Below are 24428 nucleotides of genomic sequence, written 5' to 3' on the forward strand. Positions count from 1 at the left end.
TATTTCTTGCCTTCTGCTAGTTTTTGAATGTGTTTGCTCATGCTTCTCTAGTTCTTTTAATTGTGATTGTAGCATGTCAATTTTAGATCTTTCTTGCTTTCTCTTGTGGGCATTTAGTGCTATAAATTTCCCTCTACACACTGCTTAAAATGTGTCCCAGAGATTCTGGTATGTTGTGTCTTTGTTCTCATTGGTTTCAAAGAACATCTTTATTTCTGCCTTCATTTCATTATTTACCCAGTAGTCATTCAGGAGCAGCTTGTTCAGTTTCCATGTAGTTAGCAGTTTTGAGTGAGTTTCTTAATCCTGAGTTCTAATTTGATTGCACTGTGGTCTGAGAGATAGTTTGTTGTGATTTCTGTTCTTTTCCATTTGCTGAGGAGTGCTTTACTTCCAACTATGTGGTCAATTTTGGAAGAAGTGTGATGTGGTGCTGAGAAGAATCTATATTCTCTTGATTTGGGGTAGAGAGTTCTGTAGATGTCTATTAGGTCCACTTGTTGCAGAGGTGAGTTCAATTCCTGGATATCCTTGTTAACTTTCTGTCTCACTGATCTGTCTAATGTTGAGACTGTGGTGGTAAAGTCTCCCATTATTATTGTGTGGGAGTCTAAGTCTCTTTGTAGGTCTCTAAGGACTTGCTTTATGAATCTGGGTGCTCCTTTATTGGGTGCATATATGTTTAGGATCATTAGCTTTTCTTGTTGCATTGATCCCTTTACCATTATGTAATGGCCTTCTTTGTCTCTTTTGATCTTTGTTGGTTTAAAGTCTGTTTTATCCGAGACTAGGATTGCAACCCCTGCTTTTTTTGGTTTTCCATTTGCTTGGTAGATTTTCCTCCATCCCTTTATTTTGAGCCTATGTGTGTCTCTGCAGGTGAGATGGGTTTCCTGAATACAACACACTGATGGGTCTTGACTCTTTATCCAATTTGCCAGTCTGTGTCTTTTAATTGGAGCACTTAGCCCATTTACATTGAAGGTTAATATTGCTTTGTGTGAATTTGATCCTGTCATGGTGTTAGCTGTTGATTTTGCTCATTAGTTGATGCAGTTTCTTCCTACCATCGATGGTCTTTACAATTTGGCATGTTTTTGCAGTAGCTGGTACCAGCTGTTCCTTTTTATGTTTAGTGCTTCCTTCAGGAGCTCTTGTAAGGCAGGCCTGGTGGTGACAAAATCTCTCAGCATTTGCTTATCTGTAAAGGATTTTATTTCTCCTTCACTTATGAAGCTTAGTTTGGCTGGATATGAAATTCTTGGTTGAAAACCCTTTTCTTTAAGAATGTTGAATATTGGCCCCCATTCTCTTCTGGCTTGTAGTTTCTGCTGAGATCAGCTGTTAGCCTGATGGGCTTCCATTTGTGGGTAACCTGACCTTTCTCTCTGGCTGCCCTCAACATTTTTTCCTCCATTTCAACTTTGATGAATCTGACGATTATGTGTCTTGGAGTTGCTCTTCTTGAGGAGTATCTTTGTGGCGTTCTCTGTATTTCCTGAATTTGAATGTTGGCCTGCCTTGCTGGGTTGGGATAGTTCTCCTGGATAATATCCTGAAGAATGTTTTCCAACTTGGTTCCATTCTCCCTGTCACTTTCAGGTACACCAATCAGACGTAGATTTGGTCTTTTCACATATTTCCATATTTCTTGGAGGCTTTGTTCATTTCTTTTTACTCTTGTTTCTCTAAACTTTTCTTCTCACTTCATTTCATTAATTTGATCTTCAATCACTGATACCCTTTCTTCCACTTGATTGAATTGGCTACTGAAACTTATGCATGTGTCATGTAGTTCTTGTGCCAAGGTTTTCAGCTTCATTAGGTCATTTAAGGTCTTCTCTATGCTGTTTATTCTAGTTAGCCATTTGTCTAATCTTTTTTCAAGGTTTTCAGCTTCATTGAGATGGGTTCGAACATCCTCCTTTAGCTCGGAGAAGTTTGTTATTACCAATCGTCTGAAGCCTTCTTCTCTCAACTCGTCAAAGTCATTCTCCATCCAGCTTTGTTTCTTTGCTGGTGAGGAACTGCATTCCTTTGGAGGAGAAGAGGCACTCTGATTTTTAGAATTTTCAGCTTTTCTGCTCTGGTTTCTCCCCATCTTTGGGGTTTTATCTACCTTTGGTCTTTGATGATGGTGATGTACAGATGGGGTTTTGGTGTGGATGTCCCTTCTGTTTGTTAATTTTCCTTCTAACAGTCAGGACCCTCAGCTGCAGGTCTATTGTAGTTTGCTGGAGGTCCACTCCAGACCCTGTTTGCCTGGGTATCACCAGCGGAGGCTGCAGAACAGCAAATATTGCAGAATGGCAAATATTGCTGCCTGATCCTTCCTCTGGAAGCTTCATCTCAGAGGGGCACCCGGCTGTATGAGGTGTCAGTCGGCCCCTACTGGGAGGTGTCTCCCAGTTAGACTACTCGGGGTTCAGAGACCCAATTGAGGAGGCAGTCTGTCCATTCTCATATCTCAAAACTCTGTGCTGGGAGAACCACTACTCTCTTCAAAGCTGTCAGACAGGGACATTTAAGTCTGCAGAAGTTTCTGCTCCCTTTTGTTCAGCTATGCCCTGCCCCTAGAGGTGGAATCTACAGAGGCAGGCAGGCCTCCTTGAGCAGTGGTGGGCTCCACCCAGTTTGAGGTTCCCAGTCATTTTGGTTACCTACTGAAGCCTCAGCAATGGCAGAAGCCCCTCCCCTAGCCTTGCTGCCACCTTGCAGTTCAATCTCAGACTGCTGTGCTAGCAGTGAGTAAGGCTCCTTGGGCATGGGACCCTGTGAGTCAGGTACTGGATATAATCTCCTGGTGTGCCATTTGCTAAGACCATTGGAAAAGCACAATGTTAGGGTGGGAGTGTCCCGATTTTCCAGGTACAGTCTGTCACAGCTTCCCTTGGCTAGGAAAGGGATTACCCCAACCCCTTGCACTTTCCAGCTGTGGTGATGTCCCACCCTGCTTCGGCTCACACTCCATAGGCTGCACCCACTGTCCAACAAGCCCCAGTGAGATGAACCCAGTACCTCAGTTGAAAATGCAGAAATCACCCATCATCTGTGTCACTCACACTGGGAGATGTAGACTGGAGCTGTCCCTATTCAGACATCTTGGGACTTCTATCAACTAGTTATAAATATTCTTAACTTGTAGCAATATAGCTGTTTGCATCAGTGAAACAAAAATCCATTTTCTATTTTTGTTTTCTTTTGAGACATAGTCTCACTCTGTCTGTGGCCAGCATGCAGTGGCACAATCTCAGCTCACTGCAACCTCTGCCTCCCAGGTTCAAGTGATTCTCCTGCCTCAGCTTCCAGAGTAGCTGGGACTACAGGCATGCACCACCATGGCCAGCTAATTTTTGTATTTTTAGTAGAGATGGAGTTTCACCATGTTGGCTAGGATGATCTTGAACTCTTGACCTCGTGATCTGCCCACCTCAGCATTCCAAAGTGCTGCAATTACAGGCTTGAGGCACCATGCCCAGCTGAAAAATCCATTTTCTTATGCAATGAAATACAACAGAAAAACGCTAGTTCTTTTACCAAGGCTCTAATTGGGAGGGTTTGTTTTCCTTTAAGAAATCAAGTTTAAGTTGCAAAGCCAGTAACAGCCTCTTGGGAAAGCTGGTCTCATACCTTGTCTACACAGTCCTCATACAAAATTCCTGGACTGTTGTGAGTAAAAAAATGTCACTTTCCAACAGACTTAGAAACACTATGCTCTTGGAACCTCAAAAATACAGGAGTTTAACCAACTCACAGGTATTTAAGGGTACAAATCCATGGCTTGGCCCAACTTTATAAAGTCTTATCTAAGATTTCTTTTGGAACAGATTTCCATCAAAGCCTATCAAAAAGGCCTGTGGAGAGATAGTTACTCTTGCTGCACTATGTTCAAATAGTTAGGCCAAGTATAATAATAAAGTCTATTTTGCAAACAATTCAGTCTATTGTGAGTAGCTTTTTTTTAAATTTTATTTTATTTTATTTTATTATTATTATACTTTAAGTTTTAGGGTACCTGTGCACAATGTGCAGGTTAGTTACATATGTATACATGTGCCATGCTGGTGTGCTGCACCCATTAACTCATCATTTAGCATTAGGTATATCTCCTAAAGCTATTCCTCCCCCTTCCCACCACCCCATAACAGCCCCCGGAGTGTGATGTTTCCCTTCCTGTGTCCATGTGTTCTTATTGTTCAATTCCCACCTATGAGTGAGAATATGCAGTTTGGTTTTTTGTTCTTGTGATAGTTTACTGAGAATGATGACTTCCAATTTCATCCATGTCCTTAAAGAAGGAATTTTGTGAGTAGTTTCTAACAAAAAAAAAACTAAAAGAAAGTAATTGTTTCAAAACTTGTCATACATTTCTCATGAACTTCTAGTCTCATTCATTGTTTCAAACGTTTTGATGACATTTTAAACCTACCCGGCTTATTCCTGTAAGCCAACCAGCAATCTCTGCCTGCAGCTCATCAAAAAAAGATAGGGATGGGTAATGTAAAAATCTAAATCAATATTCTAGTTCTAAGCAATTATTCTGCAAATCTGGCTGGGTGATAGAAATAAATAAGGTGCCAATAACCCAGAGCTTTCTTTTATCAGAAAGTAAGATCAAGGGAACTAACCAAAGCCAAGCCTCATGCACCCAAATCTTAGCAAATATAACTATAGCTACCAGTTATCAGGGTGTGTCAGCAGCCTCAACCTTTTTAGGTGTTTCCTGCCCTCCTTGTTTCATTTCAATTCATGTCCTCTACTAAACCAGATTGTTTCTTTTTCCCTAAAAACTATCAAGCTCCAAGTGGTAATGCAAATGGAATGATGCATAAACACATGTTTCTTCTGAGATACTTAAACCAGCCCTGGAAGAAATCTTAGCTGCTAGAACAGTACCCCTCTCCAGTGAGGAATAGCCAAAAATATCAATGCCTATTCTCCCTAACAGCAGTTAGGGTCTCCCCTCCTGAGAGGAGACTGAGAGGGATTAGCTAGTTAGCCTAAGGTGGACAGCAAGGGAAGGGTCCCCAGAGAGCCCCTAACCCACGAGTCAGTGCCTCATAACCACTTACCTACCAAGCCAGGCAAAATGGCACACACCTGTAATCCCAGTGACTCAGGAGGCTGAGGCATGAGAATTGCTTGAACTTCGGAGGCTGAGATTGCTGTGAACTGAGATCACACCATTGCACTCCACCCTGGGTGACAGAGACTCAGTCTCATGATTAAAAAAAAAAAGGAACTAATCTTTCATCAATATTTTAATAGTTTTATGTCTGAGCACTTAAGCATCAAGGACAGGACCCTGGATGATGAAAAGTGCATATTTAAATTTATAAAGTAAAAAATGACCATCAGATACTAATAAGTGATGAATACAGCAACATAATACTTCACAAAATCATTCTGGGTATGTTTGACAAAGAAGAATGTTACACAGAACCTTCTTGTGCTACCCATGTGAAGTGTTCTTCTCTCTCACTTTAGTCTCAATTCCCAACCTTACAATTACCACATACTCACATACACAGAAAAAGAAAAATTAACTTATTTTATTAGAAGGCCATGATTCACATTTTATTCTATTACATCTTTTCCATATCGCTGTTATAATAGTGTTGAAGTGAACCCTCTTTCACCAGAAGAATACCTTTGTGAATGTGAATAGACTGACACTGGAGAAGACCAGCTCAGCACACTCACTTGAATGATCCCTTTGTTTTTCAGGCAGTAAAAATGCCTTTGAGGGGGGAAAATAAAGTGACTGCGGATTAAGCAGACAGCTATACATGGAAAAATATTTGTCAATTGTTTGAAGATTACACTGCATGGTCTACAACTTTTAAAATATAAAATGCATAGCATAACTATTGCACAAGAAAATAGAATAAAAATGATGCAGTTGACCACAAAGGACAGCAAAGCTGTATTATAGCAATATAGAAAAATATATATCTACTGTCAGAAGAAGGTAACTTGAAGTATTTGAGAGATGTTCTCTAAGAAACTAAAAATATGTTTAGTTTTAGATTCTGTAAAAAATGTTTCTTAAGCATTTTTAATTTTCAAAAAAATTTGAGCTCATATTTTGTCAGCTTAGTATTTATGAATAATTTAAATAAAATAGAGTAAAATACACATTAAAAATAGCTTTTCTGGTAATACAGCAGTTGAATTTTTAGATTAAAAAAGTAAAATTCTACAAAATTATATGCTGACCAATTTAATCAGAAGCTTCTTTCTTACAACTGTGAGAAATGACACAAAGATTCAACTTTTATGTTGGGTGGGAGAGAAAATGATTACCAGGGGCTAGAAAATTGTTGTTTCACTAATCAATGTTGATTTTTATTGCTATATTGTCTCAAATTATGTTAATAATAATGTAATGGCCTTGATCCAAAAAATGTTTAAAAACTTTATTGTTTCAATCAGCCAAAATATTAACCAAAAGAAGGCATAGAAATAAAGGTATCTAAGTCATAATTTATAGTATAAAATTAAAATGTTTCTAGAAATAAAAAAAGAGATACATAAGTAAGAAAAGGAAAAAAAGTGGATTACTCACAATAACTAAGGTATGAAATCAACCTAAGTGTACATCAACAGGTACATGAATTTTAAAAAGTGGTATATTTACACAATGGAATGCTCTTTATTCCTTAAAAAGAAAAATGTCTTAGAGGTGGGCTCAGCACTCTGTGTCTTAGCAAGCCTTGCAGGGACTCTGATGTGTGCTGAAGTTTGAGCGTCACTGGAATGGATAGTGTCCATATGATTGCAGGGTCACCCCACCTATCCTGAATGTCAAGAACATCCTGAATGAGACCAGTCAGTATATTGTAGCTTTTTCTCCAGCCACAACCAGAAAGTCTTTGCTTCCCCTTTGCCTTCCACCATGATTGTAAGTTTCCTGAAGCCTCTGCAGCTGTGTGAAACTAGAAAAAGATGCACACTCAAAAACCTCATTTGAAATTTCCAGACAGAAAGCCAAGCGTTTGGAGAGTCTCTATGGACAGTTTTAAACACAAATGCAGAAAAGAAAGCAACCCTATTCAGTGTGAAGATGATGAGAATGAAGACCTTTATGATGATCTACTTCCACTTAATAAATAGTGATTCCTGAATCCTTGACACAGCACTCAGCTACCAATGCCAATGAATAAGAATTTGCATCACAGTTGAAATCTGTTCACCACTCCTTTTGTAGATGTTCTGAATTGTGTACCAGAAGTCAATTGTTATTGGGGGAACCCACCCCCAATATTTCAACATAGGTTCTTTCTATTTTCTGTAAGTGTCAGCTGGTCTGAGAAATAAAGAGAAAGAGTACAAAGAGAGGAATTTTGCAGCTGGGCCTCCAGGGGTGACATCACATGTCGGTAGGACTGTGATGCCCACCTGAGCCACAAATCCAGCAAGTTTTTATTAAGGACTTCAAAAGGGGAGGGGGTGTACGAACAGGGAGTACATCACAAAGATCACATGCTTCAAAGGGCAAAAAGAGAACAAAGATCACATGCTTCTGAGGAAATAGGGCAAGGACTAAAAGCAAAGATCACAAGGCAAAAGGCAAAATTAGCATTACTGATGAGGGTCTATGTTCAGCTGTGCACGTATTGGTTTGATAAACATCCTAAACAACAGAAAATTGGGTTCGAGAGCAGAGAACCAGTCTGACCACAAATTCACCAGGGTGGGGTTTTTTTCCCCACCCTAATAAGCCTGAGGGTACTGCAGGAGACCAGGGCATATTTCAGTCCTTATCTCAATCACATAAGACAGACACTCCCAGAGCGGCTGTTTATAGACCTCCCCTGAGGAATGCATTTCTTTCCCAGGGTCTTAATTATTAATAATCCTTGCTAGGAAAAGAATTCAGTGATATCTTCCCTACTTGCATGTCCATTTGTAGGCTCTCCTCAAGAAGAAAAATATGGCTCTATTCTGCCCTACCCCACAGTCAGGCAGACCTTATGGTTGTCTTCATTCGTTCCCTAAAATCACTGTTATTCTGTTGTTTTTCAAGGTGCACTGATTTCATATTGTTCAAACACACGTTTTACAATCAATTTGTACAATACTGGTCCTGAGGTGACATACATCCTTAGCTTAGGAAGATAACAGGATTAAGAGATTAAAGTAAGACAGGTGAAAGAAATTATGAGTATTATTTGGGATCTGATAAATGTCCATGAAATCTTCACAATTGATGTTCAGAGATTGAAGTAAAGACAGGCATAAGAAATTATAAGAGTGTTTTTAGGGAAGCGATAAATGTCCATATTACAATGAAATCTTCACAATTTATGTTCCTCTGCCACAGCTCCAGCCGGTCCCTCCATTTGGGGTCCTTGACTTCCCACAACAAATTGTCTCATTATTAAGATGGCTTCTAAAGTGATTCATTTTTGTGACACATAATAAGTGTTAGCTGAGGTCTAGCTGTATGGTGAAAAGGGCTGATGAAAAATGTCTACAGAGAGGATAGTCAACTTATATTAACTGTGAGTTATACTAGGAGCTATACTTAATTCATTTAGACTTTATTTGGTCAGCTTTTTTTATATTTCAAAAAAAGAACATTTTTAAAAAATTAAGTCTTTTTAAATATATATTCTGCTCAAATCACCATTTCCTTTTTTTCTGATGAAAAGGAATTTTTCATGATCTTTCAGGGATTATATTTTCTTTCACCTTCTATCTGCATTCTCTTTCTTCAGCTAATTGATTAAAAAAGAGATGCAAAGAAGACACATTTGCTTCTCATCCACACATCACTTCCACTTGCTATTAGTCATTGTGAGTAGAGCTGAGAAAAGCAGTTTTCTAGCATGACAGCAACTTCTCAGAAATAAACAACACTCGGAAACAAAACTATAAATCTTTTCAAAAGCTAATGTATTTTAAGCAAAATAAGCAGATGCATCAATAATAAAATGCTTGTGGTAGAATCGATTTGTTGATTTCAATTGAGTTCAGATAAGATTTGACCAAAATCTAGCAAACATAGAGCAGAAAAAGGAATATTATCTGAAATAAGGATATTGTAAATAAAGTTAATTTGTCAATAGAAACAATAATATTATGACCTCATGATAATAGTCTCATCTACGGTTATAAAACATCAAATGCTACTTTTTATTATAAACTGTATTTCACATAAGTATTCTATTTATATCATCCTCTTTCACTATTTGAATGCCTTCCCCACTTTATATCAGTGGAAAGCAGGCCAGCTGCTTCCAGGAAAGCAGGCAATGCTCTTCTTACTTTAACAATGATGATGAAGAGCACTTGTTTTGGTGATACTCCTGTGCCAAAAACTGTTATTTTGCCTGAAGTACTGGTTTTCTATTTTTCTCTATATTAGTAAAATAAAATTCTTAACCAAGAGGAATTTATCTCATCCAAGCTTTATGGAATTTTGTTTACATTTAGGTGTCTCTGACTTTCCTGGAATATTGAAATTTTTATGAATCTAAATTGAGTACTATAAATAAACAATCTTTTACTAAAAGACTTTTTGAAGTTGGAGTGATATTTATAAAAACTTTTCATAACATTGAAGAAATGTTTTAACCATGTTCCCAGTAATTACTCTGAACATAGAATTTTCCATTTTTAGTATTCGCTCTGAGTCACACAGGGGAAATTGATATCTTTACGAATGGGCAAAAAAAGGTGCTGAGTGGAGGTGCAACACATTGCACATCAATGCTTTTCACATGCACCTATTAGGGTCTTAATTTAATTGAACTGTCATTTGCATAGCTAGACACTTATTGAATCTAGTCATACTATTTTTTAGCAACTAATGCCATGTTTGTTACCCTTTAGTTTTATACACTTATTTGCTTGGCTGAAAAAAATAAGTCTTCTCTTAATTTACTCTAAATTGAGAGACTAGATTTACAGTCTGGGGCTATAATAGTAGTTGAATGTTTTTAATAGTATTATTGGCAAATGTTCAATTCACATTCAGAATGGATATAAACTTTATGAAAAGATAGGGAGCTGACAAAGAGTAAAAAATTTCAAATAGGTTAAGTAAGTTTTGAGACCTATTGCACAGCAGGGTAACTATAGTAAACTATAAAGTATTGCATATTTCAAAATAACTAAGAGTAAATTTCAAATGTACCACCACAAAAATGATAGGTGAGTTCATAGATATGTTACTAAACAAAACTTAATTATTCCATATTTTATACATATACTAAAACATCACACTGTATGCCATAAATATGTGCAACTGTGATTTACCAATCAAAAATACTACTAATACTTTTTTTATAAGAGAGAGTGAAGTAAGATTTAAGATATTGCACCAGAGAAAAATGTGGTTGTTCATCTTAAAATTTTAGGAAACATACACATATATACATTTTATTTCAAATGGCTTGCTCATTTATAGATGTAGGTAAGTAAACTTTAAATATCATGAACAGTCAGAACCCAGCACTCAGAAATAGACTTGATTTTTAATGTTCAAAATAATATAATACTTTGAAAGACAGACTCTAAAGCAACTGTTTAGAGTAAAATTCTCTCTAAATTTTTAAATAAATGATTTCCTTCACTTGTTAGAAAAAAATTTTAATATATATTTTTAAACTATACTGAAATTTATCAAATTAACATAAAAGTATTAAACAAGTAAACAAAAAACAATATGCCTTCTTCTCTCTAATGAAAAAACTGACAGACACTCCGCATTTAACCAAATACTTTGGTAAATGGATTCTAACAATGATATCTCTCATGACTTAAAACAGCCACTAGTTTTAACTTAGAATTATATTAAATTTTTATATTAAAATCTAGGATTAGCTTATTATTACATAGAAAATTTGTGGTCTGCATGTACATCATCATCCATTGAGTGGTCTATAGTTTCTGAGTTTCAGAAATGCTAATATAAGAATACTTCTTCCAATTGAATAATTTAAGTTTTCTCAGTGACTAAAAAAGATTGGAATTACTGATCACTCACTTACAATGGGGTTTTAAATGTTATTTAATGAAGATATATAAAGTTTCTTTTAAAAATCATTCTAACAACATTTCTTTTGCTTTTTCACTTTTGTTAGAAAATAAGTACGAAAATTTATGTTACTACAAGCCTATAAATTTTATTTAAATCTAGACATAATGCTAATCTTAAAAGATCTGTATGTTTAAGATTATGGATACTCTATTTACACTTAGAAGATAAATAACTGCTTTCCAGTAAATCAAATGAGGCAATTTTGACTGTCAATTATAAGCTATTAAAATATTAATACTATCATCTGGTAGAAATTTTAGGTGTCTGTATGTTCAGGTTTTTTAGCATATAATAAATCAGAAACTATAAATTTTTAGAAACTATAAATAATACACTAAAATAAAGTATCACTTTCGTTTTGTCAGTTTTGAAATACTGTCATTTCTAGATGAAATAACAATTACAGAGGCTGTGGCTGTTGAAATTAGAAATGTCATGGTTCATTCTTCTTTACTTGCTGCCTTTTCATTTCACACAAACACAGCAGCACAAGGAAGGCAAGAAATGCCACACCTTGATTGAAAACATGCCAGTGCCCATCTAGGGAGAATAAATGTCTGAGCATATTCACTTGAAATTCATGGCATCTTTTGTTCAACTACAGACTTTCATATGGAAATTAATAAAGAAAAGAATTTCACACTGCAATAGCGTAAGAAAAGTACTCTAAAAATACCTTCTGACCCATTATTTCTATTTTTCACAAGAATGATTGTGATGGAATGAGCATTTGCAGCACTGTGGTCTTAAATAACCCCCACTTTCTGTTGAATTATTTTTGGAATACAACCATAAGACTTTTGTGCTTTTTTTTTTAGAAAAAATGTTTTATATTTCTAATTCAGTAATTTAGCATAATTTTTAGTCTCACCCATTCACAAATAGTTCATTCTGAAAAAAAAAATGATTAATCCAATTACATTTTCCCCCAAAAGAGTACAGTAACAAATTAAGTCTATAGTGTAGTGTACAGTTAATACATAAATAATAAAGGTGTAATTTGTTTTACTTGCACACTTGAAAATAAAACACTTTTTGGGCTATAGACTAAGAAATTTCAGGTTAGCTTATAAAATGTGAGGAGACCTGGTATAGAAACATTCACCACCATGCCTTAAGGGGTGAAAAATTTGTCTTTCACCCCTAATTTCAACTATTAACCCAGCACTGGAAAAATAGAACATGTCATTATACCAAAAAACATTTTATTATTTTTATTTTATATTTAAGGTACATGTGCAGATTTGTAAAACAGGTAGACTACATGATGTTGAGGTTTGGATACTTAATAATTCCATTGCCCAAGTAGTGTACATCATACCTAAGCAGATTTTCTATGCTTGTCTCCCATCCTTCCTCCTTCTTTTTAGAATTCTCAGTGTTTATTGTTTTCATCTTTGTTTCCATGTGCGCCCAATTTTTAGCATCCATGTATGAGTGAGAACATGTGGCATTTGTTTTTCTGATGCAATAATTTGCTTAGAATGGCCTGAAGCAGAGCTGCATTCATGTTGCTGCAAAAGACGTTACTTCATTCTCTTCTGTTGCTGCATAGTATTGGAGGTTGTATAAGTACATCATTTTTCTTATCCAATAAAAGATTCATGGGTAACTGGTTAAATTCTGTTTTTGCTATTGTGAATAGTGCTGCAATGAACATGTGAGTGCTGGTGTCTCTTTGGCAAAATTATTTATTCTTTTTGGGGGCAGATATCCAGTAATCGGCTTGATTGGTCAAATGGCAATTCTATTTCTAGTTCTTTGAGAAGTCCCCAAACTGCTTTGCACAGGTTCTGAATTAATTTGCATTCCCACCAACAGTGTAGAAAGATTTCCTTATCTCTACAACTTCAACATCTTATTTATCTTACTTTTAATAAGTCATTCTTACTGGTATGAAATAGTATCACACTGTCACTTTGATTTACATCTTTCTGATAATTAGGAACGTTGAGCAATTTTTACATGTTTATTGGCAGCTCTTATGTCTTCCTTTGAGAAGAAGCTGGCTATTCATATCATGTTTGCTTTTTTATTAAATGTATTATAGATTCTGTACATTAATCCTTCATTGTCTGCAGTTTGCAAATATTTTATTTCATACTGTAGGTCATCTGTTTACTTTGCTGATAGTTTCTTTTACTGTGCAGAAGCTCTTTGGCTTAGATGCCATTTTTTATTTTTATTTTTGTTGCACTCATGTTAGATGTTAGTCATAAATTCTTTACAGAGGCCAGTATTATCTAAGTGTTATTCTAAGATTTTTGTAGCTTGGAGACTCACAGATCAAGTCTTTAATCTATATTGAGTTGTTTTTTTTTTATAGAAAAAGGTAGTACAGTTTTCTTCCACATATGACTAACCAGTTTTCCCAGTATTACTTACTAAATAGGGAGTTAATTCCCCTTTTGTTTATTTCTGTTGGCTTTGTAAAAATAACCTGATTGCAAAGTATAGCTTAATTCAGTACTCTCTCTTCCATTTCATTGGTCTAGATGTTTATTTTTGTACCAGAACCATGTTATACTGGTTATTCTGATGCAATCTTGGCTCACTGCAACCTCCACCTCCCAGGCTCAAATGGTTCTCTTTCCTCAGCCTCCCAAGTAGCTGGGATTACAGGCATGCACCACCACACCTGGCTAATTTTTTACATTTAGTAGAGATGCAGGTTTCACCATGTTGGCCAGGCTGGTCTCAAACTTCTGACCTCAGGTGATCCATCCATCTCAGCCTCCCAAAGGGCTGAGATGACAGGCATGAGCCACCATGCTTGGCCCAGATTTATTCTTTTAGTCTGAAGTTTTCTTGGCTATTTGAGCTCTTTAATTCTTTTGAATGTATTTTAGAATAGTTTTCTTTTTCTAATTCAATAAAAATCGTCATGGATAGTCTGATAAAAATAGCACTTAATCTGTAGGTTGCTTTAGGCAGAATGACCATTTTAATTATATTATTTGAATCCATGAGCAATATTTTTCCATTTATTTGCATTGTCTCTCGTTTCTTTCAGCAATGTTTTGTTGTTCTTTGTAGAGATATTTTACCCCCTTGATTTAATGTATTTCTAGGTATTTTTTTGTGTGTTTGTTGCTATTGTAAATAGAGCTGTGTTTTTTATTTTGTTCTCAGTTTGAATATTATTGGTGTACAGAAATGCTATGCATTTGTGCTGATTTTGTATTCTAAGATTTTTTTTGAAGTCTTTTTCCAGGCTTAGAACTCTTTTGGTGAAACCTTTAAAGTATTCTAGGTGGACAATTCTTTCATCAGTAAAGATAATTTGACTTTCTTTGTTTTCTGTTTGGATTCCTTTTATTCTCTGGCTAGGATTTCATAACTTCAATAGGACTGTTTAGAATGGATATTCTTATTTTTATTCTCATGGAGAATGCTTCCAGTTTTTGCTCTTTTAGTATGATGTTGGCTAAGGATTTGTCATAGATGACTCTTATTAAGATATTTTCATCAATGTCCAGTGTGTTGACAACATTTTTGAGTTAATATTGGGTTTTCTTGAATGCTTTTTCTGCCCCTACTGTTATTTTTTTTTCTTTTAATTATCTTTACATGGTGAATCACACTTATTGACTTCCATATCATGAAACACCTTCATATATATGGAAAAGCTCACATTAATGTAGCAAAATAACTTTCTGATTTGCTTTTGAATTCAGTTTGCTAGTATTTCATGGAGGATTATTATTCCAATATTCACCCAGAATATTGACCTGTACTTTCCTTTTTTTGTGGTGCCTTCACTAGATTTTAGTTTCATATATTTCACTGATTTAATATAACAAGTTAGGGTGAAATCCCACCTTGATTTTTTCGAATGCATTCAGTAGGCTTAGGTAAAACTCTTTGCAATGTGGTAAAACTTCGCTGTGATTTCATATGATCCAGGGCTTTTTATGGTTAGTAGGTTTATTATTACTTATACAATGTCATTATACATTTTATACATTTTTGCTCTGCTAAAGACTTCTGTTATTAGGCCAGGCACTGTGGCTCATGCCTGCAATCCCAGGACTTTGGGTGGCCAAGGTGGGCATATCATGAGGTCAGGAGATAGAGACCGTCCTGGCTAATATGGTGAAACCCCATCTGTACTAAAAATACAAAAAATTAGCTGGGAGTGGCGGCGGGCGCCTGTAGTCCCAGCTAATTGGGAGGCTGAGGTGGGAGAATGGCATGAACCTGGAAGCTAGACCTTGGCTAATTTCTTTATTTCTTTTTAGTAAACATGTTTAGTAAACATTTCTTTTTAGTTCCACTATGTTGGCAAGGCTGGTCTTGAACTCCTGACCTCAGGTGATCTGCCCACCTTGGCATCACAAAGTATTGGCCACAGTAAGCCAATGTGTCTGGAAAAAAAAAAAATCTGTGTTTTGAAGAAAAAAGTATACTTTAAATTTAATTATAACTCTTCAAAGATCTACTTCTTTTAAAGTTATATACAAATAATTCTTCTTTTTGCCAACTTTAGTTTTGGATTTTTTCCTATACTCAGCAGTCTGATTTAGTGTAATATCTGAAGTTTGAGTGACAGGTATTTCTACTGTGAATTAGCTGATATTTACATAAACTTAATTTTGGATTAAATATTTTTTATATTTACTGTATCTGCAAAAACATATTTTAGTATAAACGCATTTGTGTTTTATAATCTGTAGTTTTTGAAAAAATGTTTTTCCAAATTTATTAAATTTGCAGGGTTATTCTTCAATATAAATTCCCTGATGTTGAGCAAAGTTGGAACAACTACCTCAGGTTTTCCTGTAGTACAAAATGTGTACAATAAAATCTGTGATACAAGTACATGTACTACAACCCTCTTAATATTTATAATGTGTTTCCTCAAAATAAATATTCTTCTGTACTTTAACAGCTTTTATTTTCTGAAAGATCTAGTGACAGTGATTGCACTTTTAATACTTTTATTTAGTATGAACTCTCTGATGTTTAATAAGCTGTGAGAAGATATTACTGGCATTAACAAAAATTTTTTTTTCCAGACAGTCTCTCTCTGTTGCCCAGGCTAGTGTAAATGCTTTCCTTTGCAATAAGGCATGAGCACTGGTTAAATGTTTGTCACATTGTTTATTACAGTAGTTTTCTCCAGTATGAGTTATCTTACCTACAATCAAGTGTGACAGCCACTTAAAGGCTTTGTCATATTCTTCACTTTTCTAGGATTTCTCATCTGTACGATTTCTTTTATATTCAGAAAAGTCTGAGGTGTTGCCAAAAGCATTGTCACATCTTTCAGGTTTGTAGAGTCTCTCTTGTGTATGAATTAGCTTATGTCTCTTAAGAATTGAGGATCTATTAGAGGCTTTCCCACATTCTTCACACATGCATGGTTTCTCTCCAGTATGAGTTGTCTTATATGTAGTAAGCCTTAAGGACTGGTTAAGGGCATTGCAACATTCCACACAATTGTAGGAATTCCCTCCAGTATGAATTACATGAATGTTTAGTAAGGATTGAGGAATAGCTAAAAGGCTTGCCACATTCTTCAGATTTGTAGGGTTTCCCTCCTGTACAAATTCCCTTATGTTCAGTAAGCGTTGAGAATTAATTAATAGTTTTGCCACATTTTTCATATTTGTAGGGTTTTTCCTCCAGTATGAATTCTTTTATGAGTAGTAAGGTGTGAGGACCAGTTGAAGTCTTTATCACATTCTTCACATTTGTAGGGCTTCTCACCAGTATGAATTCTCTTATGTTCCATAAGGTTTGAGGACTGGTTGAAGCCTTTGCCACATTCTTCTCATTTGTAGAGTTTCTCTCCAGCATGAATTTTCTTATGTGTAGGAGGGTTGGGAACTGTTTAAAAGCTTTGCCAAATTCTTCACATTTTTAGAATTTCTCTCCAGCATGAATTTTCTTATGTTTACTAAAGACTGAGAACCAGCTGAAGGCTTTGCCACTTTCTTCACATTTGTAGGGTTTCTCTCCAGTATGAATTTTCTATGATAACTGAGGGTTGAGGACCACTTATAGGCTTTGCCACATTCTTTGCATTTGTATGGTTTCTCTCCAGTATGAATTACCTTATGTTTAGTAAGGATTGAGAACATACTAAAGCCTTTACCACATTCTTCACATTTGTAGGGTGTCTCTCCAGTATGAATTCTCTTATGTTCCATAAGGTTTGAGGACCAGTTGAAAGCCTCACCACATTCTTCACATTTGTAGGGTTTCTCTCCAGTATGAATTTTCTTATGATAACTAAGGGTTGAGGGCCACTTATAGGCTTTGCCACATTCTTCACATTTCTAGAGTTTCTCTCCAGTATGAATTTTCTTATGTTTACTGAAGACTGATAACCAGCTGAAGGCTTTGCCACATTCTTCACATTTGTAGGGTTTCTCTCCAGTATGAATTACCTTATGTTTAGTGAGGATTGAGAACGTACTAAAGGCTTTGCCACATTCTTCACATTTGTAGGGTTTCTCTCCAGTATGAATTTTCTTGTGATATCTAAGGGTTGAGGGCCACTTATAGGCTTTGCCACATTCTTCACATTTGTAGAGTTTCTCTCCAGTATGAATTACCTTATGTTTTGCAAGGATTGAGAACATAACAAAGCCTTTGCCACATTCTTCACATTTGTAGGGTTTCTCTACAGTATGAATTTTCTTATGATAACTAAGGGTTGAGGACCACTTATAGGCTTTGCCACATTCTTCACATTTGTAGGGTTTCTCTCCAGTATGAATTACCTTATGTTTAGTAAGGATTGAGAACGTACTAAAGCTTTTGCCACATTCTTCACATTTGTAGGGTTTCTCTCCAGTATGAATTCTCTTATGTTCCATAAGGTTTGAGGACCAGTTGAAAGCTTTGCCACATTCTTCACATTTGTAGGGTTCCTCTCCAGCATGAGTTGCCTTATGTTCAGTAAGTCTTGAGGGCCAGCTGAAGGCTTTGCCACATTCTTCACATTTGTAGGGTTTTTCTCCAGCATGAGTTGCCTTATGTTCAGTAAGGCTTGAGGGCCAGCTGAAGGCTTTGTCACATTCTTCACATTTGTAGGGTGTCTCTCCAGTGTGAATTTTCTTATGTTCCATAAGGTTTGATGACCAGTTGAAAGCTTTGCCACATTCTTCACATTTGTAGGGTTTCTCTCCAGTATGAATTACCTTATGTTTAGTAAGGATTGAGAATGTACTAAAGCCTTTGCCACATTCTTCATATTTGTAAGGTTTCTCTTCAGTATGAATTTTCTTATGATAACTAAGGGTTGAGGATGACTTATAGGCTTTGCCACATGCTTCACATTTGTAGAATTTCTCTCCAGCATGAGTTTTCTTATGTTTACTAAAGACTGACAACCAGCTGAAGGCTTTGCCACATTCTTCACATTTGTAGGGTTTCTCTCCAGTATGAATTACCTCATGTTTAGTAAGGATGGAGAACATACTAAAACCTTTGCCACATTCTTCACATTTGTAGGGTTTCTCTCCAGTATGAATTTTCTTATGATAACTAAGGGTTGAGGGCCATTTATAGGCTTTGCCACATTCTTCACATTTGTAGGGTTTCTCTCCAGTATGAATTACCTTATGTTTAGTAAGGATTGAGAACTTACTAAAGGCTTTGCCACATTCTTTACATTTGTAGGGCTTTTCTCCAGCATGAATTGCCTTATGTGTAGTAAGGGTTGAGACCTTACTAAAGGTTTTGCCACATTCTTCACATTTGTAGGGTTTCTCATCAGTATGAATTCTCTTATGTTTAATAAGGATTGCAGATCGGTTAAAAGCTTTGCCACATTCTTCACATTTGTAGGGTTTCTCTACAGTATGAATTTTCTTATGATAACTAAGGGTTGAGGACCACTTATAGGCTTTGCCACATTCTTCACATTTGTAGGGTTTCTCTCCAGTATGAATTACCTTATGTTTAGTAAGGACTGAGAATGTACTAAAGCTTTTGCCACATTCTTCACATTTGTAGGGTTTCTCTCCAGTATGAATTCTCTTATGTTCCATAAGGTTTGAGGACCAGTTGAAAGCTTTGCCACATTCTTCACATTTGTAGGGTTTCTCTCCAGTATGAATTACCTTATGTTTAGTAAGGATTGAGAACTTACTAAAGGCTTTGCCACATTCTTTACATTTGTAGGGCTTCTCTCCAGCATGAATTGCCTTATGTGTAGTAAGGGTTGAGACCTTAATAAAGGTTTTGCCACATTCTTTACATTTGTAGGGCTTCTCTCCAGCATGAATTGCCTTATGTGTAGTAAGGGTTGAGACCTTACTAAAGGTTTTGCCACATTCTTCACATTTGTAGGGTTTCTCACCAGTATGAATTCTCTTATGTTTAATAAGAATTGCAGATTGGTTAAAAGCTTTGCCACATTCTTCACATTTGTAGGGTTTCTCTACAGTATGAATTTTCTTATGATAACTAAGGGTTGAGGACCACTTATAGGCTTTGCCACATTCTTCACATTTGTAGGGTTTCTCTCCAGTATGAATTACCTTATGTTTAGTAAGGATTGAGAATGTACTGAAGCTTTTGCCACATTCTTCACATTTGTAGGGTTTCTCTCCAGTATGAATTCTCTTATGTTCCATAAGGTTTGAGGACCAGTTGAAAGCTTTGCCACATTCTTCACATTTGTAGGGTTTCTCTCCAGCATGAGTTGCCTTATCACATTCTTCACATTTGTAGGGTTTCTCTCCATTATGAATTACCTTATGTTTAGTAAGGATTGAGAACATACTAAAGCCTTTGCCACATTCTTCACATTTGTAGGGTGTCTCTCCAGTGTGAATTTTCTTATGTTCCATAAGGTTTGAGGACCAGTTGAAAGCTTTGCCACATTCTTCACATTTGTAGGGTTTCTCTCCAGTATGAATGACCTCATGTTTAGTAAGGATTGAGAACATACTAAAACCTTTGCCACATTCTTCACATTTGTAGGGTTTCTCTCCAGTATGAATTTTCTTATGATAACTAAGGGTTGAGGGCCACTTATAGGCTTTGCCGCATTCTTCACATTTGTAGGGTTTCTCTCCAGTATGAATTACCTTATGTTTAGTAAGGATTGAGAACTTACTAAAGGCTTTGCCACATTCTTTACATTTGTAGGGCTTCTCTCCAGCATGAATTGCCTTATGTGTAATAAGGGTTGAGACCTTACTGAAGGCTTTGCCACATTCTTTACATTTGTAGGGCTTCTCTCCAGCATGAATTGCCTTATGTGTAGTAAGAGTCGAGACCTTACTAAAGGCTTTGCCACATTCTTCACATTTGTTGGGTTTCTCTCCAGTATGAATTATCTTATGTTTAGTAAGGATTGCAGATTGGTTAAAAGCCTTGCCACATTCTTCACATTTGTAGGATTTCTCTCCAGTATGAATTACCTTATGTTTAGTAAGGATTGAGAACTTACTAAAGGCTTTGCCACATTCTTTACATCTGTAGGGTTTCTCTCCAGTATGAGCACTCTTATAATAAGTAAGGGTTGAGGACCAGTTAAAAGCTTTGCCACCTTCTTCACATTTGTAGGAATTCTCTCTAGTATAAATTCTTTTATGTTGAGATAGGTGTGAAAGCATGCAAAATGATCTGACGTATTCTTTACATTGCAAATGTTTCTTTCCAGTATGCCTTATCTTATGTCTGTTTGAATTTGAACATTTATGAAAGACATTTGCATATTTGCCACGTTGAAATACTTTGCTCTGTGTAGTTGTCAAACTCTGGTTAAGTTTATTATAACCTTCTTTGTGCACCTTACACTCATCCACATTGGTATAACCAATTTTTAAGTGTAAATTCTCATGTCCACATTTTTCATACCTTCTCAATATCACTTTTTGGAAAGAATCTTCTATGCCCTGCTCTGGCCAAAGATCTTGAGCAAAATGAGAACATATAACTGAAAAGAAATAAAAATCACAAATTAGCCTACTTATTAGACTCAGATAAATACAGTTTCTAAATCTAAACTATAAAATTATTCAAACTACATAAGCAAGATGACACTGCAATATGACACAGGCCCTAATTCTTCATAGACATATAAATCTAATAAAAACATATAGACCGAAATACATATGTGGATAATTTATACATGAGTTAAGTGTGTGCAGTGCCTGAATTAAGCTGAATGCAGAGTCACACAGAAAAAAAGAAAAGTTTGTTAAATTTACCCAGTACGACTCTTTCTGTTCCTCAATATTACCTAGTACCTTCAGAACTAAATTGTCAACTTCTGTTTGTGTTTTTTTGTTTTGTTTTGTTTTGTTCTGTTTTTAAGGAAAGTAAAATATTGGCACAAAAAATTTAATTTATGTCTTCTACAGCCCTTTCCACACACTGGTTTCTGTCTCCCATGACATAAAATGCTGAAAGATATGGTGGTATACTTAGAAATGACAGTTTGAGTCTGCTGAGACCAAAGGTAAATGCACTGCAGCAGAGCACTGCAGTCCTGCAGAGAGAGACCAGATGTACCAAGTGATTACTTTTCAGAAGAAAGATAAATAATCTCTCTCAACTAAAAGTAAATGCAAAACTTCAGACAAGAAATCTGAAGATGTTTGAGAGGCCCACATAATCTTAACCCAGACCATTGTTTTCTGACTATGCCAGGACAAAGCTACATTATAAATTTTGTGACAGGTAGCCTTTTTAAATGTCCAAATCTCAAAGATTAAAATCTATACAATATAGGGCAATATAATTCCATCAAAAATATTATACAATTTTCAGAAAGAACCCATTAGCAATGGATATACTAATTTTAAAAACTGAATAACACTCAATGAGTGAAATAGGAACACAAAAGTGTATAGAAAATCAGAAAAATGAGGATAAGAACAAAAATGACCAGTGAAATGTCAACAAAAGATTTGCAGTCCAGAAGAAAACTGTGTGATATAGTCAAAGTCCAAAAAAAAAAAAAAAAAAAAAAAAAAAAGCTATCAAGTGAGAATAATACCATCAGCAACTCTGTCCTGCCTAATGGGGGAAAAAAAACAACTTTCAAAATAACTAAATTCTTAAGAAGTATATTAGCACTGCATATGTCTTCCATAAGAAAGATGCCGAAAGCAGTTTTTACCACTGAAAATAACATAATGTAAGAAAACAACACCTAATCATATAAAAATACATTATTTTCTAGGAAAGACATGCACAGACAAAAAATTGAATTTCTAGCATTATTCTAATGGTGCAGAAAACATTTTTAATTATTCTCTAACATTTAAGAGATAAAAGCATAGGAATTATTATAAACATCTGTTAATGAATATACGACATAAATCAATAAACTTAGCAACATCGGTGACAAATTTAAGAGCAGACATAATAGGGAAGAATTTTTTATGCAACCAAAGTTAATTTTTCACCTGATTAAAATATATTGTTGTATTTTTAGGTTCTATGCAATCCCCAAGGTACCACACACACAAAATATCTGTATACATACAGAAAAGAAAACTAAGATAGTGAAAGCATATCCATACAAAAATCAGACAGAAACAAAGGAAGACAGAAAGAGAAAATGAGAGACAAGATGCAAGAATCAAATAGAATAGGTAATAAAAGTAACTCCTTCACTTTCAGAAAATTATTTAAATATATGGAAAGTTAACTTTCAAATCAACAGATATCTAATAGATTTATTAACATTTATTCTTTTGAGACAAAGTTTTACTTTTGTTGCCCAGGCTGGAGTGCAAAGACCCTATCTCAGCTCACTTGAACCTCTGCCTCCCAGGTTCAAGTGATTCTCCTGCCTCAGACTCCCAAGTAGCTGGGATTACAGGCATGCACCACCACACCCAGCTAATTTCTGCATTGGTAGTAGAGACAGAGTTTTACCATGTTGGCCAGGCTGGTCTTGAGCTCCTGACCTCAGGTGATCTACCTGCCTCAGCCTCACAAAGTGCTGGGATTACAGGCATGAGCCACCGTGCCCAGGCTATTAAAAAATTTTAAATATCAAGATCCAACTTGCCTTTCTACAAGAGTCAGTTGAAACCTAATGTTAAAAAGACTCAAAGTGGCAAGATGGAAGTAGACATTTCATGCAAATATTAATCAAATGAGAGCAGAAGAGGTCAAAATAATATTACACAAGCTAAATCTTAAGTCAAAGACTCATATTTTATAAAATGCACTTTACAGTGAAACTCCAAAGAGACAAAGAAAGATATTAAAAATAATGGATTAACTCAGAACCTGTGAAAACGTTGAATACGTGTGTGTGTGTATCACACATTAGGATTACAAATACAGAAAGCAAATACTGACAGAATAGAAGAAACACAAGGAGAGCAATACAATTATAGTAGGATATTATTACACCACACTTTCTGTAATAAAAATCAAAATAGAGGAGGCTGCCAAGATGGCCAAATAGGAACAGCTCTGGTCTACAGCTCCCAGCGCGATCGACACAGAAGGTGGGTGATTTCTGCGTTTCCAACTGAGGTACTGGTTTCATCTCATTCCAACTGGTTGAACAGTGGGTGCGGCTCCCTGAGGGCAAGCCAAAGCAGGGTGGGATGTCGTCTCCCCTGGGAAGTGCAACGGGTTGGGGAACTCCCTCTCCTAGCCAAGGTAAGGGTTTAGGGACTGTACCATGAAGAACCGTGCTCTCCAGCCCAGATACTGTGCTTTTCCCATGGTCTTCGCAGCCTGCAGACCAGGAGATTCCCTCTGGTGCCTATGACACCAGGGCCCTGGGTTTCAAGCACAAAACTGGGTGGCCATTTGAGCAGACACCAAACTAGCTGCAGGAGGCTTTTTTTCCCCCATACCCCAGTAGTGCCCAGAAGTCCAGTAAGACAGAACCGTTCACTCCCCTGGAAAGAGGGCTGAAGCCAGGGAGCAAAGTGGTCTGGCTTGGCAGTTCCCACAACCAGGGAGCCCAGCCGGCTAAGATCCACTGGCTTGAAATTCTGGCTGCAAGCACAGCAGTCCAAGCTCCACCTGGGAAGCTCGAGCTTGGTGGGGGAAGGGCGTCCGCCATTGCTGAGGCTTGAGTAGGCAGCTTTACCCTCAGAGTATAAACAAAGCCACCCGGAAGATTGAACTGGATGGAGCCCATCGCAGCTCAGCAAGACCAGACTGTATCTCAAGATGCCTCCTCTTTGGGCAGGGCATCTCTGAAAAAAATGCAGCAGCCACATTCAGGGGCATATAGATAAAACGCCCATCTCCCTGGGACAGAGCACCTTGGGGAAGGGACAGCTGTGAGTGCAGCTTCAGCAGACTTAAACATCCCTGCTGGACAACTCTGAAGAGAGCAGTGGAGGTACCAGCTCAGCATTTGAGCTCTGCTAAGGGTCAGACTGCCACCTCAAGTGGGTCCCTGACACCCGTGTCTCCTGATTAAGAGACA

At 36.5% G+C, this 24428-nt stretch overlaps 1 protein-coding gene across 5 annotated transcripts in view; it reads right to left on the minus strand.

Moving 5' to 3' along the window:
* ZNF208 (zinc finger protein 208) overlaps window positions 1-24428 on the minus strand; it is a 71129-nt gene that overhangs the window by 14042 nt on the left and 32659 nt on the right. Inside the window, exons 4-5 of one of the 5 annotated variants that reach the window (NM_001329973.1) lie at window positions 20873-20951; window positions 6339-6928 (exon numbers count right to left, since the gene is read on the minus strand). The exons of 1 other annotated variant lie outside the window; for it this stretch is intronic. In NM_001329973.1, coding sequence (NP_001316902.1) covers window positions 6808-6928; window positions 20873-20951 — 200 coding nt within the window. In that variant the 3' untranslated portion in view covers window positions 6339-6807. Of the gene's footprint in view, window positions 1-6338; window positions 6929-12238; window positions 20952-24428 lie in introns of those variants that run through there. 3 more of the 5 variants (NM_001329971.2, NM_001329972.1, NM_007153.3) reach the window with 3 other exon arrangements.

This window comes from Homo sapiens, chromosome 19 (genome assembly GCF_000001405.40).
Source record: "Homo sapiens chromosome 19, GRCh38.p14 Primary Assembly".
Classification (NCBI taxonomy): domain Eukaryota; kingdom Metazoa; phylum Chordata; class Mammalia; order Primates; family Hominidae; genus Homo; species Homo sapiens.